We start from the raw sequence: 16647 nt of genomic DNA, 5'->3' as shown, positions 1-16647 counted from the left end.
CAGCCACAGAGCGGTGCAGAGCCAACATGCACAACGCAGCCTTGAGGGGAGGGAGGAAGTTCACCCAAAGCTGCTGATCCTAAGGCACTTATTTCATGCAGTGCACACTTCCTTCCCAGCCTCATGGGTTTCTTTCTAAAATCACAAGTAGTAGGCCACCCTGAGCCACCCTCCAGCCTAGAAGAGAAGGTTGAGGGGCTGCAGTCTTCAAGAATCTGCAGGCTTTAGATGCTCAAAGATTAGGTCCTAGGCAAGAGTAAAGTTCATAGTGGAGCTATGAAGAGGGCAAGCAAGTCTCACGAAGATCCTTGCTTTTCTGTGGCTTTAGCCTGGACAGTGCAATTGCAAAACACTGAGAAGCTGGGGAAGGCTTGGGAAAGAAAGGTGCCAAAGTGCGGGGGAGGGGAGGGGAGTAGGGTTATTTGGAGGAAAGGAAAGGCCATTAGAAACTACTTGGAAGGCGGCCGGGCACAGTGGCTCATGCCTATAATCCCAGCACTTTGGGGGGCTAAGGCAGGCAGGATCACCTGAGCTCAGGAGTTCGAGACCAGCTTGGGCAACATGGCAAAACCTCATCTCTACAAAAAATACAAAAATTAGCTGGGCATGGTGGCACACAAATGTAATCCCAGCTTCTCAGGAGGCTGAGGTAGGAGAATCATTTGAGCCCAGAAGGCAGAGGTTCCAGTGAGCTGAGATCACGCCACTGTACTCCAGCCTGGGCGACAGAGCAAGACCTTGTCTCTAAATAAATAAATAAATAAAAAGTACTTGGAAGGGGCTGACTGTGAAGCGTTAACAATCCTTTCCACTCATCACCACAATCATTTGTGCCACGGCGGTGCTTCTCCAAGCTGTCAGGTGGGCAACAGAGTAGCTTTCTCTGCTCTTGCAGGGAATTTCAGCTCAGGGTGCAGGTCCCTTCCGGTGGGGGCTACTGAGCAGGCTGCAGACAGCTGTGGCCTGTGTAGGCTGCGGGCGCTCTCCCATGCTGTCAGCTCTGCTCAGGACATGGGCTCAGTCTTGACAGGGCAGAGGCAGAGGCAGAGCAGCCTCATTGATTAAACATTCGTCTTCTGGAAACTATACCAGGGTTTGGACGGACTGTGCTTTGCAAAGAATGTTTTATGAACATCACCGTTTCGTATTCTTACTGACAGAGGCAGCTGAGCCGCAGCGGCACTCCCATTTCCTGTAACTCCGCACAGCCTCCAGCAGGCCGGGCCTGGGAATGAGCCCAGGGCGGAGCTGCCGCTTCAGAGAGCTCAGCTGGCAAGCCAGCGCCCTTGCTGGACCAAGGCATCTTGTTTTCAAGCTTCCCCTCTGGAGCCCTCACTCATCCTAATGCTTTCTGTCCACACAATACCCCCTGGCTCTAAGGAACAAGGAAATGGCAAATTAGATTTGCTTGTCTCTGTTGACCTGAAGAAAGCCTTCTCTACTGAAGACTAATTGGCAAATTCTGTTTTAGGGTTCAGCCCAAGTACTTCTGACTGACTCTCACAGACTCACAGAAAAATATGTTCGAGGGTGGAGCTGGAGGAGACAGTCAAGGTCACACAGTAGGAGCCTGAGGGCAGAGGCGGGCTCCTCTCCTTCCAACCCTCTCTGTCTCTTTCACCTTCCCTGTGGGAAGAGGTGGGCTCGCCTCAACCCTCTGTTTCTTTCAACTTTCCTCTCTGGGGAGAGGTGGGCTCTCCTCCACTCTCTGTCTTCCCCCCCCACCACCCCTCTCTTGTGCATTCTTCTACTTTGCACTACTCCATCAGCTGCTGGCCCTTTTCCTCTCCCCTGATCACCTCTCTGCCACCTAAGCCTGCAAAGAGCTCCTGCACACCCACGAGAACCTTCTCGGATAAGGTGGCTGTCGGCAGTGGTCGGTTAAGCTCCTGAGAGACTGTGTTCCCTGTTGGGGTTGATGCAGAGTTGGGTGCACCTTCGGAGACTTCCATTTGCAAACATCCCTTTGCTAACTTAAAGATAACAGCCCTAGAGGTGGCTTTACTGGGAAGCTAATGATGCTTCAGGCTCCTTTACTTACACAGCCTCTTTCCAAGGCCTCGTTCTCTGCATATTGTTTGTTTTTTCTTAAAGGAGGTCTCCCATGGCATGGTTCAGACCACTCCAAACCTGGCCCACTCCAGCACATACCTACTGGTGCTTTGCCATGCTGTACCTACGACTTGTTAAGAACTGTAGCAAACACTGTGTGGGCCTCACTGGCCAGGACCTTGTTGGAAATGCTCTTGAGTTTGTCAAGGGTGAAGCTTAAGGACTTGAAGAAGGTGTGAAATAATATTTGTGAAAGAAGAAGTTTAGCCTAAGCCATTTAATTTTTGTTTTGTTTTGTTTTTTTTGAGATGGAGTCTCACTCTGTCACCCAGGCTGGAGTGCAGTGGCACGATCTTGGCTCACTGCAGCCTCTGCCTCCTGGGTTCAAACAATTCTCCTACCTCAGCCTCCTGAGTAGCTGGGACTACAGGCACGCACCACCATGCCTGGCTAATTTTTGTATTTTTTTTTTTTTTTTTTTTAGTGGAGATGGGGGTTTTACTGTGTTGGCCAGGCTGGTCTCAAACTCCTGACCTCAAGTGATCTGCCTTCCTCGGCCTCCCAAAGTGCTGGGATTACAGGTCTGAGCCACCGTGCCTAGCCCGTAAGCCATTTAATTTAAAAAATCTATATAGAAGTCACTCAGAAATGTTTTCCAAATGACTCTTTGGAACCCTGACTTATCTGATGATAAGCACCTCTTCTACACAGATTTGTTTAAACATCTTAAAAGATGACTGTCTATCTAAGTCTAGCTATGGGTGTTTCCCCTGATAGAGGGACTGCTTTTGTAGTAATAATGAACCTACTCTCTGTGCCCTCCCCAGCTTTCCTGCTGGGATGACAGCAGGGGGCAGGGGCACTGGCATCAGGCACCTAAGTATCTAAGTCCTGCGTGTAGTTCACAGCTTTGAAAACACTTTGCCACATTCAAACTGATTTCCATTTAGAAGGCAAATCTCAGTTGGGGCACACGGGGACCAGGCTCTGTTCTGCAGGGTGTCACCCATCTAAATCTCCTGTTGGCTCAGAAGAGAGCACTGGCGTGGACAGAGCAGAGTTTTGTCAGATTCCAACCAAGGGTAGTGCAATGACTCTACTGACTGGAATTTACAATTCTCATTAAACGCTCTCAAAACGTCGCCTGTTTTGAACATATGCTTCTTAGAAAAAACTTAGATATCAAATGACTCAGGGATACCTGATTTTTTTAAAAGAGCTTTTCCTAATTTTCCACTCTGCCAGAATTCCAAGGGCGATGGGTTCATAAACCTTCATGGCTGTGATTCTCATTTGAGAAAGTCATGGGGGAAAATGGCCAGTATTTTCAGGGTTACTGTGGAGATGGCCATGACAAATATTCTTACACTTCCCTTTTTTTTTTTTTAAACCTTTGCTTCTAATTCTTATTTGCCCATTTCTTGTTGACTTTTCTACTTAACTTTCTTGCTCTCTGGACTCACCAACTCTCTTCCCCTCTATCCTTCTTCCCCATTGATTTCTCTCCCACTTCTCCTTTTTCCGTCTTCTCTTTTTCTTCTTTGTTTCTTCCTTTCTACCTCTCTCTTTTTTACTTTGAACCCTTTTCCCTCCGCTACCCAGCCTTCCTGGCTTTTCATTTGAGGACCCTTTTACCTTCCACCAGTAGAGGGAGACATCACCGCTCGCTTTTTCTCTCTTACAATTTGGTGGCTGTGCATACATCCCGGCTAACACCAAGAAGCCGTTGGTTATGTTTGAATTGATCTAACCAGTTATATAATCCTAAGGAAAAACAGCTGACCACTTAGATATCTGACAGTGATAGTCCATCTACTCTGAACAGAAAACTGAGATACTCATGTTTTTATTCCAAAACAACCTTTTAAAAGTTCATATGTATCAAATATTAGGTTGAATCATATGACATTACCAATTTTTAAGGTCAAAAATTGGCCGAATGCTGGATACTAATAGAATAGAATTTTGATTTCTTGTAAGAGTGTCTATGAAAAGACCTTTCTGCTGGCAGCATAAAAATCCCACTGTCTGGAGTGCTGGAGCTTTTGCTGTCATTGCAGTAAGTCACTGTGACAGCTGATTTACTGCCCAAATGAAGTGTCGGCATGTAACTTGCAAAGAAGTTTATGGCTTCAGATGTCTGGAAGTCATACACATTAGCACTTAATGTTACAATTTAAAAATGCCATAGAGATCATTCCTGTTTCTGCAGATTCTCAAATAAAATTGCTCATGTAGGAATACATTTTATTTTACCCTAGCTGACGTCTTGTCTGAAAAAACCGAGTGTACAGATGCTACTAAAAGCAAAACTAGGAGCTTTCTAGATGGTCTGTGTACAAATTAAGAATGAGTGAAATTATTTATTTCTTTTGCTCCAATTCTGTCAAAAGCATTAGAGTTACGCATCATGTATTTCTGCTTGGCTGTGAAGCTCTGTTCTGGGGTCTTATGAATGCTTATTAACAGTTACAGAAACACCACAGTCTTCTAAAGTCCACCTAAAATGCAGGTGCAGGTTGGAAGGAGAGCTTTTTTGTATTCTTTTATTTAACATTATCATTTACGTTTGCCTAAGTTATTTTTTTTCCTACTACATTTGATTTTTCAGATTACATGGAGAGTTCTTCTGCAATACTAGCTTAATAAATCATGCAACTGCTGGTTTAATCTTGTTTTGATACTGGATTGGGGTATTTAAAATGTTAGGTTAAGTAAATACAGTAAATGATTTTCTAAAAACAAAATTGTAGCAATTATGTACCATGTTACTATCTTTGCATTTAGCATGCGATCCCAAAGGACCTTTGTAGCAACAAGTGCCAGATATAAGCATAAATGATGACACCAATGCTATACAAAAGTTAAATTATTTGACAATCAAATGAAGTGTGTACACTAAAAAGTGGATCATAACTGGATGTCGTGAGTATGTCATGCATATACATTGTTCTAGATAGAACTTCAATGTTAGCTCATAATAAAAGCCAATAATGAGGGAAGCAGCAATAATGAAAATGTGGTCCTCAGCTGGCTCTGGGTTATCTGCACATACTTCCAGTATGGGTCCTTGAAATTTCATAGGAGTTCAGATGGCAAGAGACACCTGTGGTCACACCCATCACATTATTGCTTTAGATGTCACATTGTTGCTTCCCTAACATTTTCTTCCTTGAGAATTTATAGTAGAGAGAAAATTTCATAGGCACTGAATAACCACCCCCATCCCCCACTTGTGAGAGAGGATACACTAACACTGAATTTTCCCATTTTTGAGATAATAAATAAGACCTCATTAGGTACTTTGATGCCAGCTTTCTATCAATATTTATCTAATTTTTTGACCTGCAATATCAGGGTGCTTATCTAGACGTAAAATTATAAAGCATTTATCTCTAATTTCTAAAGTATTGCATATTTCCTTAGGAGCACGTCTTCTATCATTCAAGAAATACCTTTCTTATCCGGATACTGGTCCTAAAATAAGATGGCAGGCAAAAGTTTGACCAAAGATACCTGGGGCCTCTTTCCCACCAGCCTTTCTCTCCTCTGCAAATGAACATGCTGAGTCTGATGCTAAATCTGTCTCCAGAGGCTCCTCCTTCAAAGTAAACACTGGAAACAGCTTTAGGTCAGAGTAGTCACACCCCACGGCTAACTCAGTGTTTATTGTTGGTAGAGTGGGTAGCAAACAACCCATGTCTGGAACATATGGCAACATGGGTTGTAACATGTCCTCTAATTATAGAGACAAAGCTTCTCTTCTACTCCCAGGAATGATGGAGAACTGATACTGGACCAGCATTCAGCCTGTATATAAGGGAGTATATGAAACTGGCCAAAGTACAGGAGGCAAATGGTTTCCAGTAGTGCACCACAGGCAATGCAAGACTGTAATCCCTGAGGGAAGGGAAACTCACAAGGTAAGCCCCACAACCAACCAATTCTTTTCTTGGGGAAAGTTCCCCAACCATTGCACAGAGCTGGAGTCTGAGCAGACCATAGTCATTCAGCTATAGAGAAAACAGAGGTCAGAGTGCGAGAAAGCTGAAGTGGCTGGATCTCCAGGGCAAGACACTGGAGAAGAGGATGCCGTTCTGGTCCGTTCAGGAGGACCAGAAGTCCTAGTGGAGGTTCCAAGGGCTGTAGGCAAGGGTTGCGCTGGGCATGTGCAGGGTGAGAATCCCCTGCCCCAAGGCTTATAAGATAGCAGCTGAGATGTGGCTGAAAGAGAAATAGAGATACTCGAGGTTGAGAAAAGTAGTGCATTAGGGACACTGAGGTCATGAACACCTCCAACACATTGTTCACATCCCCGGGATCCCAAAGACATCAGAAAGGCTGTGCCTTAGGAGTAAGAATCATGCCCTAAAGTAAGACCCTAGACCCATCCTAACAAAGCTTGAAACCAAACAATCTTCAGAGAAGACAGAATTTGGAGGTTGAGTTCCAACAAATTAAAAAAGTCTGGAAACCACTTTGAACTTTCCACAGATCTGTACTAACGAAACATAATACAAACCCACACACGTTCAAGGTGACTAGCCAGTACCTGAACTGCTTGCTGTAACAGGGGCAACACTCTTTGGTGTAAGATAACAAAATCCAGAGTCTCTATACCACATATCTAAAATGTCCTGTAGTCAATAAAATATTAATAGACATACAAAGAAATGGGAAAATATGATAGAACCAAATCAAAATTTTACAACTAAAAAGCACAATAAGCAAAATGAAAAATTATCTGGATGAAGTTAGCAGTAGATTGGATATGGCAGAAGAATCAGTGAACATGAAGAGAGATCCAAAGAAATTATCCAGTCTGAAGAGCTGAGAGAGAGATATTGAAGGAAAAAGCACAGAGCCTCAGGGACCTATCCTCTGGGCAGATTTTCACAGGGGAGCGTGGGTAAGGATAATGGGTTGTGGGGACTGAAAGGGTGTGGCTGAAAATCACTTTACACACAGTCACCCCTGTAGATGTTTCTTTATTGATGTGCATAGCATAGGGTTAAAAGCATGGGCTCTGGGGTCAAATTAGGACGTTTCTGTTAGAAAATTGTACTTAAGCTCTCCCTCCTCCGGTTTTGTTAATCTATAAAATGGAGATAATATTAGTAGCAGGCTCAGAGGGGTGCTGTGAGGGGTTAGCAGAAGTTATGTACGTGGAAGGCTTGGAACAGCATGTGGTATGTCCATGTGGTATAGTCTGGGAAGTGGTGAGCCCCGTGTCGGTGTGAAGGTGGATGAACTGCAAAGAGGAGAGTCGGGAAAGAGCATCGGGCCTCATGTTCCGTTTAGCGCCAGCTCTGCTTGCGTGCTTTCCACAGTCCTGTGAGCACGGTCCCTAAACCACAGAAGCCCATAAAGAACCAAAGCAACAGAAAGGCCTGTTCGCCAGGTGCCTGAATGGCCGGTAAATGTACAGTCCAGTGGAACATTATCTGCTGGTGATATTGGCCTGTTGATGAGACACAATGGGCTCAAAGCCCTGATGACAGAGAAGAGTCTGCTGGAGGGGACCTCCACTGGGCAGGACCCTGAAGGTCGATGTTCGGCCCTTGCCACCAATGCTGAAGTCCTCTGTCCAGCATTGCTAGGAGATGCTCCCTGTCCCAAGTCTGACATCTCTGGGTGGGGACTCCTGTCCACTAGGAGCTCTGCGTCCTGGGCTGTTCCCTCTTGGATTGAGTAGAGTCTGAATCCCAGGCCCACTCTCTGGTCCTAGATGTGACCTGTGGGGCCACACAGAACACATCTCATCCTCTCCTGCCGATGTTCTCATGGCGCTTGGGGCACTCCCAGGGGGGTAGAAGCCTTGAGACCAAAAGGACTTCTTCCAGAAGCAACCTGGGTTTCTCACAGCAAAGGCAGTGTAGGGAGGGCATGGGACTCCAAGCTAATTAGACTTTTAAATTTATCCATCTATGAGCAACTTACTTTGTAATTGGTAATGATTTCCATGTAATCATATGTGTGCTTGGGGATTCTGATGAAGTAAGAAAAACCCAACCTACAAATCATTTCTAAACTGTCATAAAATTTTCATGAGTGCTAAATTTAACAATTAATGAAGTTAACACATTCATGTGTCTCATAGACATTACACATTTATCAATTTTGATTTTGCAGTTTTCTTTTCATGTTTTAGAGCTTGTAATTTTTTTCCAGGTCTTAAAATTTTTTATAGTTCCTGGAAAAGTGCATAGGCACTTGCCTACAGTGTCTGATGGCTTGAATGTCCATGACATCTGTCTCTGGGTTCACAGATTAATTTCATCCCACCATGGCCATAACTTCAAGGAACCATGACATGTCACTACATCAAAGAGAACTCCTTCCCTCTAGCTCCTAGTTTTACATCCAGGGTGGAGGTCTTTGGAGATGTGGCAAAATTGGAGGACGGAAGGAATGAGGAAAAGAAGTTGGAACAAATTAATATTTGTTATGAGCCTCCTGTGTGCGAGCCCCTGTGAGGGGAATTTGCACATACATTCAACTGAACGTTTAAAAACCACCTCCAGGCTGGGCGCGGGGGCTCACGCCTGTAATCCCAGCACTTTGGGAGGCCAGGGCGAGCGGATTACTTGAGGTCAGGAGGTCAAGACCAGCCTGACCAACATGGTGAAACCCTGTCTGTACTAAAAATACAAAAATTAGCCAGGCATGATGGCGCGCACCTGTAATCCCAGCCATGTGGGGGTCTGAGGCAGGAGAATCGCTTGAACCCGGGAGGTCAAGAGTGCAGTGAGCAGAGATCGTGCTACCGCACTACAGCCTGGGCGACAGAGTGAGACTCTGTCTCAAAAAAATAATAAAATAAAATAAAGGGGTAAGTTAGAAAATGTATGTCTCAGTGCTCTGTAAATTGCAAAGCTCTATATAAATATAATTCTCTGTCTTTATTAATTTGCAATCTGGTGTGCCATGTCTGGGGACAATAACTCTTCCATTACTCCATGCACAAAGTTCTGATTTGGGGTCCTGGCTTATGCTTTTCCAAGATTATCAAAAATTAGCCAGGCATGGTGGTGCATGCCTGCAGTCCAGCTACCTGGGAGGCTGAGGCAGGAGAATTGCTTGAGCCCAGGAGGCAGATGTGGCAGTGAGCTAAGATTGCACCACTGCACTCCAGCCTGGGCGACACAGCGAGACTCCGTCTCAAAAAAATAAAACAAAAAAAGCTCCTCCAGTTTATTAGGTCATAAACTGGTAATGGCAAGAGGAAATAGAATCTCAGTCAATCCTCACTACAGGCCAGGGAGGTGAACCTCAGTATAACTTTCTTCATTTTACAGTTGAGGAATTTAAGGCTCTTGGGATTAAGTGACTTGCCCAAGATCACCCAGCCCCAAAGTGTCAGGGCCAGCAAAGGTCAGAGGCAGCCCAGGTGCTCTGACCCCACAGCTGTTCTCTGCCACTCCCCACTGCATAAGCTATTTGCAAAGCTTTTCCTTCCATCATCTTTCAGGATTATCTTATTCTGTTGTTCTTACTGGTGTCCAATTAGACCAAGAAGAAACTTCCCTTGAATTGGTGGGGACACAGCTGGCAGAGGTGGGCACAGAGAAAGGAAAATATAATGAATGCTGATTTCAAAAAATAATCTTCCAGCATGTAAGATGAAATTGGATTAGTATCTCAGATGACAAACATGAGTAAGTCTTACAGGTTTTTTACAGGCTAGCTGACAAAACAGATTCACGTCTCCACTGTTTCCAAGTGACTTTCTACCAACCAGACCATTTCTCCAACAACACAGGAAGCAAACCTTCCCTGAGTGTTCCATCCAGCTACCTGTTGGGCTGCTCCCCACCACCCCCAGGTATCCATGGGCACCCACATTCCACATGCCTAAGTCAACTTCCCCCAACTTGCACCCCCTCTTGAAACACCAGGACGTTTCGCCCCACACATGCCTGTGCTTTGTTGGCTTGAAACATCCCTTCCACCTTTGGGTGGCGAATTCTCAGATGTCGTCTCCTCCAGGAAGCTTTGCCTGAAACCTAAGTGCTCTTTGTCAAAGCTCCCCTGCCCCTCCCCCAACAGTCTGTCACATTCTAGCACATTCCGTTCAAATCCTCCATATACCCATTTCTCTGAATAGACCATGTATTACTTGAATGAAACTGACCTAAGGTTTTTCAAGATAAAAGAAACTTATTTGTGCCAAAGCAAATAATGGCTCAAAATCATTCCATTTAACCGAAACTTTTGGAGAGAACAAGAGAGTTTGAAGGCTGTGTCGATGGTTCTCAATAGTGGCTGCCAATTAAAGTCATCTCCAGGCCCATAGCACTGCCAAGGCCTGGCTGCCCACCCTAGGATTCTGACTTAACTGGATGCAGAGATCAGTATTGTGATTCTAATGAGTGTCCTGGGCTGAGGAGCGACAGATTGTAATAAATTATCCCTCAGCTCCTAGACATAGGGCCAGGTCTGAAGAGGGTCAGCTGGTTCCAGCTTGAGGGCTTTTCAGATGGAAATATGACATGTAATAGAAACCATCCGGGGCCAGGCGCAGTGGTTCATGCCTGTAATCCCAGCACTTTGGAAGGCCAAGGCAGGTGGATCTCCTGAGGTCAGGAGTTTGAGACCAGCCTGGCCAACATGGTGAAATGCCATCTCTACTAAAAATACAAAAATTAGCCTGACGTGGTGGTGCACACCTGCAATCCCAGCTGTTTGGGAGGCTGAGACAGGAGAATCGCTTGAACTCGGGAGGTGGAGGTTGCAGTGAGCCGAGACTGTGCCACTGCACTCCAGCCTGGGCGAAAAGAGTGAGACTCCGTCTAAAAAGAAAAAAAAAAAAAAAAGAAAAAAAGAAAGTAAGAAAGTACATGGGCCTGGCATCTCTAGCTGTGTGACTGTGAGCGAGTTACTCAACATATCCAAGTCTCAGTTTCATCCTTTGTAAAAGGAGGCTATCTTGCAGGTTGCTGTGGGGATTAAGTGAGGCAACTCTTGCAATGATAGTATCAATATTAGCAACGCTCTGTCCATTCTAAAGCGCTAAACCTCAGCAGAGACCCACCTATCCACAGCATGGTTCTAGAGCAAATAAACTTGGTGCCGTTCTTAGAATGGCTTGAAGTTCAGCTTGCGATTCTGACTAATTCAGCACTAACGGATTTGTGTATTTGTTTTCCCATCTGTCTAATTGGGGATTGGAACGCAAGAACTTTTTTATTGATTTTGAGCTCTAACTATATCCAAAACAGGAAATAAGTAGAAAGGAAGACGACGGATTGCTTGGCAACTTGCCAGACCACTTGCTCTTAGCGACGGTGCTGCAGGCTTTCCAAGGCGCAGAGGGTGGGTGCCCTGGATGTCTATCACTGCATCAGAGACCGGAAAACCGTTAGGGCTTCGGGACCCTTTCGGCCAGGCACTGCTGGTCATGATGTGCTGGCTTAGTCTGTGATGGTCTTTGTTGCCTGGGATGTCTGTTATTAGCAGCTGAAGCAAATCAAAGGAGAGGAATGTCACAGTGGCCCCAGAGAATTTGTACTGTTGTCAGTCTTGAAATATTTCAGCTCATTTGTCCGTGTTTTGACAATTCCTGGAAATTAATTGGTACGCGTATTTCTCATGGCCCTAACATGACGCAAAGCGGGAGAAAGCAAAGCAACAGTGCGGGGCCCGGAGACCACGCTGGAACTCGCTCTGCTAGAGGTTCCCAGGTCTCTCGGCTGGCATGTGCATTTCACAGAATGTTTAAAAAATACAAAATACCAATTTCTCCCCTTCAGGGCTTACTTCAAGTGCCTCTTGACTTTCACTGAAGTCTTTGACTGCTTCTTCTCTTCCCCTCCAGTTTTACAAATTATTCTCATTTTCAATTTAACTTTTTCAGTCCTTAAGCTTCCCTCATCTATTTTCATAATAAAACAATATTGACAGATGAGAAAACGGTAACAAATTAGATAACTTAGATGAAATGGATAAATTCCTAGAAAGACACATACCACTGAGACTGACCCAAGGGAAAAGTAAAAAATCTGAATAGACCTATAATAAGTAGAGTGAATTAGTAATCAAAACAATACCCATGGAGAAAGTTCAAGACTAAATGGCTTTCCTGGCAAATTGTCCCAAATCTTTAAAGATGAATTAACAGCAGTTCTTCACAAACTTTTCGAGACAGAAGAGTAAGAAGCACTTCTCAACTCCTTCCATGAAGCCGGTATTACCCCGATACCAACACCAGACAAAGACTTCACGAGAAAATAAAACTACAGACAATTCCCTTATGAATACAGACAGAACGATCCTTAACAAAATACTAGCAAACTGAATTTAGCAACATATAAAAAGGATTATATACCATGGCCAAGTAGGATTTATCCCATAAATTCAAGAAATAGGAGACAAATAAGAAAAGCAACACACACTCCTACTCTCAAGAAAGTTCTGGTATGACGGCCAGACTGCGCATAGCCCCACAGCACACCCCCAATCCTGTGTCAAGTGCGGGCTTAGTCAGTTTGGGGGCTGTTGGTCAGGGTGGGTGGGAGGAGAGGAGGAGCTGAGAGTCACGGTGTTTACCTTCTTCTGGGGTTTGGAGAGCTCTTTCTGGCATGTGTGGACTGAGATGTTGTCTCTGCCCTCCTAATCTCCTGGTGGAGCTGCAAGGATCAGAGACTCACAAAAGGCTCACAGCTAAAAGGGGGCTTTAGGTACAAATTAATCCCACCTCCTATTTTGCAGATGAGGAAAACTGAGGACCAGTGAGGCAAGAGTGACCTGCCAATCATCAGGGAACTAACTGGCAGGAGCCAGAATGGGAGCTCTCATTCCCTGGTTCCCATTCTGGGCTCTTTCCCTCATGCCAGTCATCTCTATTATTTTCCGGTTGCTCCAAGAGGGTACAGTTGAGCTCGCTCATCTTGCCACTCATGGGTCTCAGGGGGATAATAATAATAGCCGACACTTAAATAGTACTTTTCTTCTACTAGGCAAGGTTTTAAGTGCTTGACATGTCTTAACTTAATCCTCATAGAAACCCTACAAGGTAAGAATATCAATGTTCCCATTTTATAGATGAAAACACTGAGGCAGAGAGAGGTTAAGCAACTCATCAAGGTCATGCTTCTAGTAAGCGGTAGCAGTCTGGTCTCCACACAGTGAATCCCCATCTCCAATGTTCCTCTTCCAGATGGGGATAAAAAGGCATCTTAAAGCCTGCTGGCTGACTCGAAAGCATTTAGCATGTGGAACAGATGTCTCTGTACAGCTTTTATCACTGGCTGGAACATCCTGCTTAGGGGACTTGACTATACAATTCTGTGCTATTACCAAATCCGGAGTAGTGCTTATACGCGTATGACTCCCAGGATGTTGAGATTTCTTACAGTTTTGTCTCTGGTATGGAGGCGGTAGACCATGGTACTCACTGATGGAGGGCTTCTTTAGCATGGGGTCCATGGGCTTTAAAGCAAGACCTTGATCCTGAGATTTCGTGCACATATCATGTGCCTGAGCCTAGACTCACTGGGCATGGATTCGCTGGGGCTGTGACGCTGGAGTGTTTTTGTACCGAACAGCTCCCAGGTGCATGTGAGCCTTGTTCACTTCTTTATACCCAACAGTGCTTTCAAGCCTTCCCCTGGAAGCTCTCTGGAAAGATCTGTGCATGCCTGAGTAAAGGAATGAATGGCCGTGTGCAGTGGCTTACACTTGTAATCTCAACACTTTGGGAGGCTGAGGCAGGTGGATCGCTTGAGGTCAGGAGTTCGAGACCAGCCTGGGCAACATGGCAAAACTGTCTCTACAAAAAATGCAAAAATTAGCTGGGCATGGTGGCACATGCCTGTGGTCCCAGCTACTCAGGAGGCTGAGGTAGGAGGATCACCTTGAGACCAGGAGGTGAAGGTTGCAGTGAGCTGAGATTTCACCACTGCACTTCAGCCTGGGCGACAGAGTGAGACCCTGTCTTAAAAAAAAAAAATACAAATACCCTTTGTGTGTACGGATGGCAAGAAGATGCTACAGGAGATGTGAAGCCACCTACACTCAGGTATGCATGGCAGAGAGTGCACTGTCACCCTGGGCAGGTGACCAGGGCCGCAGGTCCTTACTCAATCCCACCATGATTCTGTATGCCATCAGCCTGAGGCCAGCAGTGAAGAGGCTCTGCTTCCAGGTCCAGAGCTCCTCCTGATCTGCCTGGTGCTCAGTGGCATGGTGATGTCGCATGCAGCTCTTTCCTGGGGTGTTCAGACTGTCTCATCCTCAGTCACAGCAGAGAACAGGAGGGCAAGGAGTCTTGTTTTTTTTTTTTTTGTTTTTTTTTTTTGGTATCTTCAAGCTTCCTGACACAGTGCTCAAGCCCACAGATTAACAGATGCCTTAATAAGTAGCTTTCCAGGCTGGGCGCGGTGACTCATGCCTGTAATCCTATCACTTTGGGAGGCAGAGGCTGGTGGATCACTTGAGGCCAGGAGCTTCAGACCAGCCTGGCCAACATGGTGAAACCCCCTCTCTACTAAAAAATACAAAAATTAGCTGGGTGTGGTGGCGGGCGCCTGTAATCCCATCTACTCGGGAAGCTGAGGCAGGAGAATGGCTTGAACCTGGGAGACGGAGGTTACAGTGAGTGGAGATCATGCCACTGCATTCCAGCCTGGGTGGCAGAGCGAGACACTGTTTCAAAAAAAAGAAAAGAAAAGTAGCCTTACACTGAATTGAGTGACAAGGGGTGACCAACAGGCAGCTGCTGCACTGCGACAGGCTTCTTAACCTTTGCAGTGTCCTCTTCCAACAACCCTTCCATCACAGCCCGGTGCCTTCAGCGGTACTAGTTATTTGGAAGGTGACTCCTAAAGGAATAGGCAAATGAACGCTAGCATTTCTGCCATGTCCAGAGTCTTGGTGCAGGTGTAGAATGAATGGACTCCAGAGGGGAATCTGATTTCACATATGGAGTAAAACGACCTCCCCATTTCCATGGTTAAAGCCACCTTCTCTGTCACAGAGGCACAGGGTAGGTGCTCAATAACTGTTTGCTGAATTGATGAATTATGTCCCATCTGGTCTTGACCTGAAGTGGCTTCCTGGTGAGAGCACCATTAAACAGCCTTTGTTAATTTTCTTAATCTCAACAAAGTGTAGAGCTTGGTGAGATCAGCACCCTGCAGAACCTGGTGAGCCCAGTATTATGGGGGTCACAGGGTAAGAAGAACATAAGTCCACTGGTTTTGACAAGGACATTTGCCATCGGTGGTCAATTCTACTGAAGGTTCTTAATGCTTCCTTCATGTATCTGCTCACATACTGCCCCCTGACTGCTGACCCCTTTGAAGGTGGATGAGCTGTACCCCACAAACTTTGTATCTCTATCTCCTAGTCTAGTCCTCAACACACAGAGGGAACCCAGGTAGAGTGGCTGATTGAATGAGAGGTTATTGTGTGTAGACACATGCACACATCAGAGAAACGATCAACGTATGCTGCGGCCAGAATTCTGGTGAGCTCTGTCCTTACAGGGCACTTCTTGTGCACCTGCGAATGGTGCAGAAAGCCTCTGAGCACAGATCTGGTCTTTAATGCCTGTGCGCTTGCAGGCATGCAGTGTAAGAAGTGAACGTGGGCACTGGAGTCGCCAGGCTAGTTTTGAACCCACAAATTAGAGTCTGTGTGGCCTTGGGTAGATGGATGATCAATCTCTCCTACTTAAAAAAGGTGGGGACAAGTGTCCCCTTTTCCCACTGTTGCTTTAGGGTTAAATGAGGTGCTGACCACCACGCGCCCTGAACACAGCTGATCTCCATGAATGTAATCCCCTTTCCTGCGAGCCTGTCTCTTCCTCCCTCTGTTCTCAGTTTCCTTTTCTGAAAAATACAGGGGAGTGACCCTTAAAGCGTCCCTTGAGTGGATGAGTTATGACCAAACAAGCTGTTTCCCCAAATCCCTTACACAGTGGAGCGGCAAGGACCTTGAAGTAAACATACTTGCTTCGAAAGAAAACACGCCTGGCACAGTGGCTCACGCCCGTCATCCCAGCACTTTGGGAGGCCGAGGCAGGTGGATCACCTGAGGTCAGGAGTTCGAGACCAGCCTGGCCAACATAGCGAAGCCCTGTCTCTACTAAAAATACAAAAATTAGCCTGCATGGTGGCATGCACCTGTAGTCCCAGCTACTTGGAAGGCTGAGGCAGGAGAATCGCTTGAACCTGGGAGGCAGAGGTTGCAGTGAGCTGACATCATGCCACTGCACTCCAGCCTGGGCGACAGAGCAAGACTCTGTCTCCAAAAAAAAAAAAGAGAGAGAAAACGCTTTATTAGTAAAGCAGAGCAAAGCAATACGAACAAGACACCACCACCACCAACACGTAAACCCCAGCCATCTCTGCTGGGGGCTGAGTCTAGTTCACGCAGCTGTGGAACTTGGCAGCCTCAGGACTGTCTTGAGGCTGCCAACTTCCACCCTGCAGTTCTTTGCACCCAGAAGCAAGGTGTTCTGGGCTGCTGCCCACGTCCAGTCTACCTGAAAGTCAGGTCTCTGATCTGTCATGGATGCTCTGGAGTGGGTGATTCAGCTATAGAAAGAGCACACAGCACAGGACCACCACAAGACAAGGTTCTCTGCAGAAA

General features: G+C 45.9%; 1 protein-coding gene across 7 annotated transcripts in view, besides 2 other annotated features; it reads right to left on the bottom strand.

The window, feature by feature from the left end:
• ZDHHC14 (zDHHC palmitoyltransferase 14) overlaps positions 1-16647 on the bottom strand; it is a 296968-nt gene that overhangs the window by 7101 nt on the left and 273220 nt on the right. The window contains exon 9 of one of the 7 annotated variants that reach the window (XM_017011310.2): positions 11213-11511. The exons of the other annotated variants lie outside the window; for them this stretch is intronic. Coding sequence (XP_016866799.1) covers positions 11239-11511 — 273 coding nt within the window. The 3' untranslated portion in view covers positions 11213-11238. Of the gene's footprint in view, positions 1-11212; positions 11512-16647 lie in introns of those variants that run through there. 7 annotated transcript variants of the gene reach the window in all.
• Positions 477-1082: an enhancer, noted in NCBI's record as "H3K4me1 hESC enhancer chr6:158091007-158091612 (GRCh37/hg19 assembly coordinates)". NCBI's record gives its function as "activates a minimal SCP1, AML or CMV promoter by ChIP-STARR-seq in naive H9 embryonic stem cells {active_cell/tissue: H9 hESC(naive)}" and the evidence as "EXISTENCE:reporter gene assay evidence [ECO:0000049][PMID:30033119]".
• Positions 1083-1690: an enhancer, noted in NCBI's record as "H3K4me1 hESC enhancer chr6:158090399-158091006 (GRCh37/hg19 assembly coordinates)". NCBI's record gives its function as "activates a minimal SCP1, AML or CMV promoter by ChIP-STARR-seq in naive H9 embryonic stem cells {active_cell/tissue: H9 hESC(naive)}" and the evidence as "EXISTENCE:reporter gene assay evidence [ECO:0000049][PMID:30033119]".

Source organism: Homo sapiens, chromosome 6, assembly GCF_000001405.40.
Source record: "Homo sapiens chromosome 6, GRCh38.p14 Primary Assembly".
Lineage (NCBI taxonomy): Eukaryota > Metazoa > Chordata > Mammalia > Primates > Hominidae > Homo > Homo sapiens.
The sequence above is the reverse complement of the archived record's forward strand: the minus strand, read 5'-3'. Positions and strand labels throughout refer to the sequence as shown.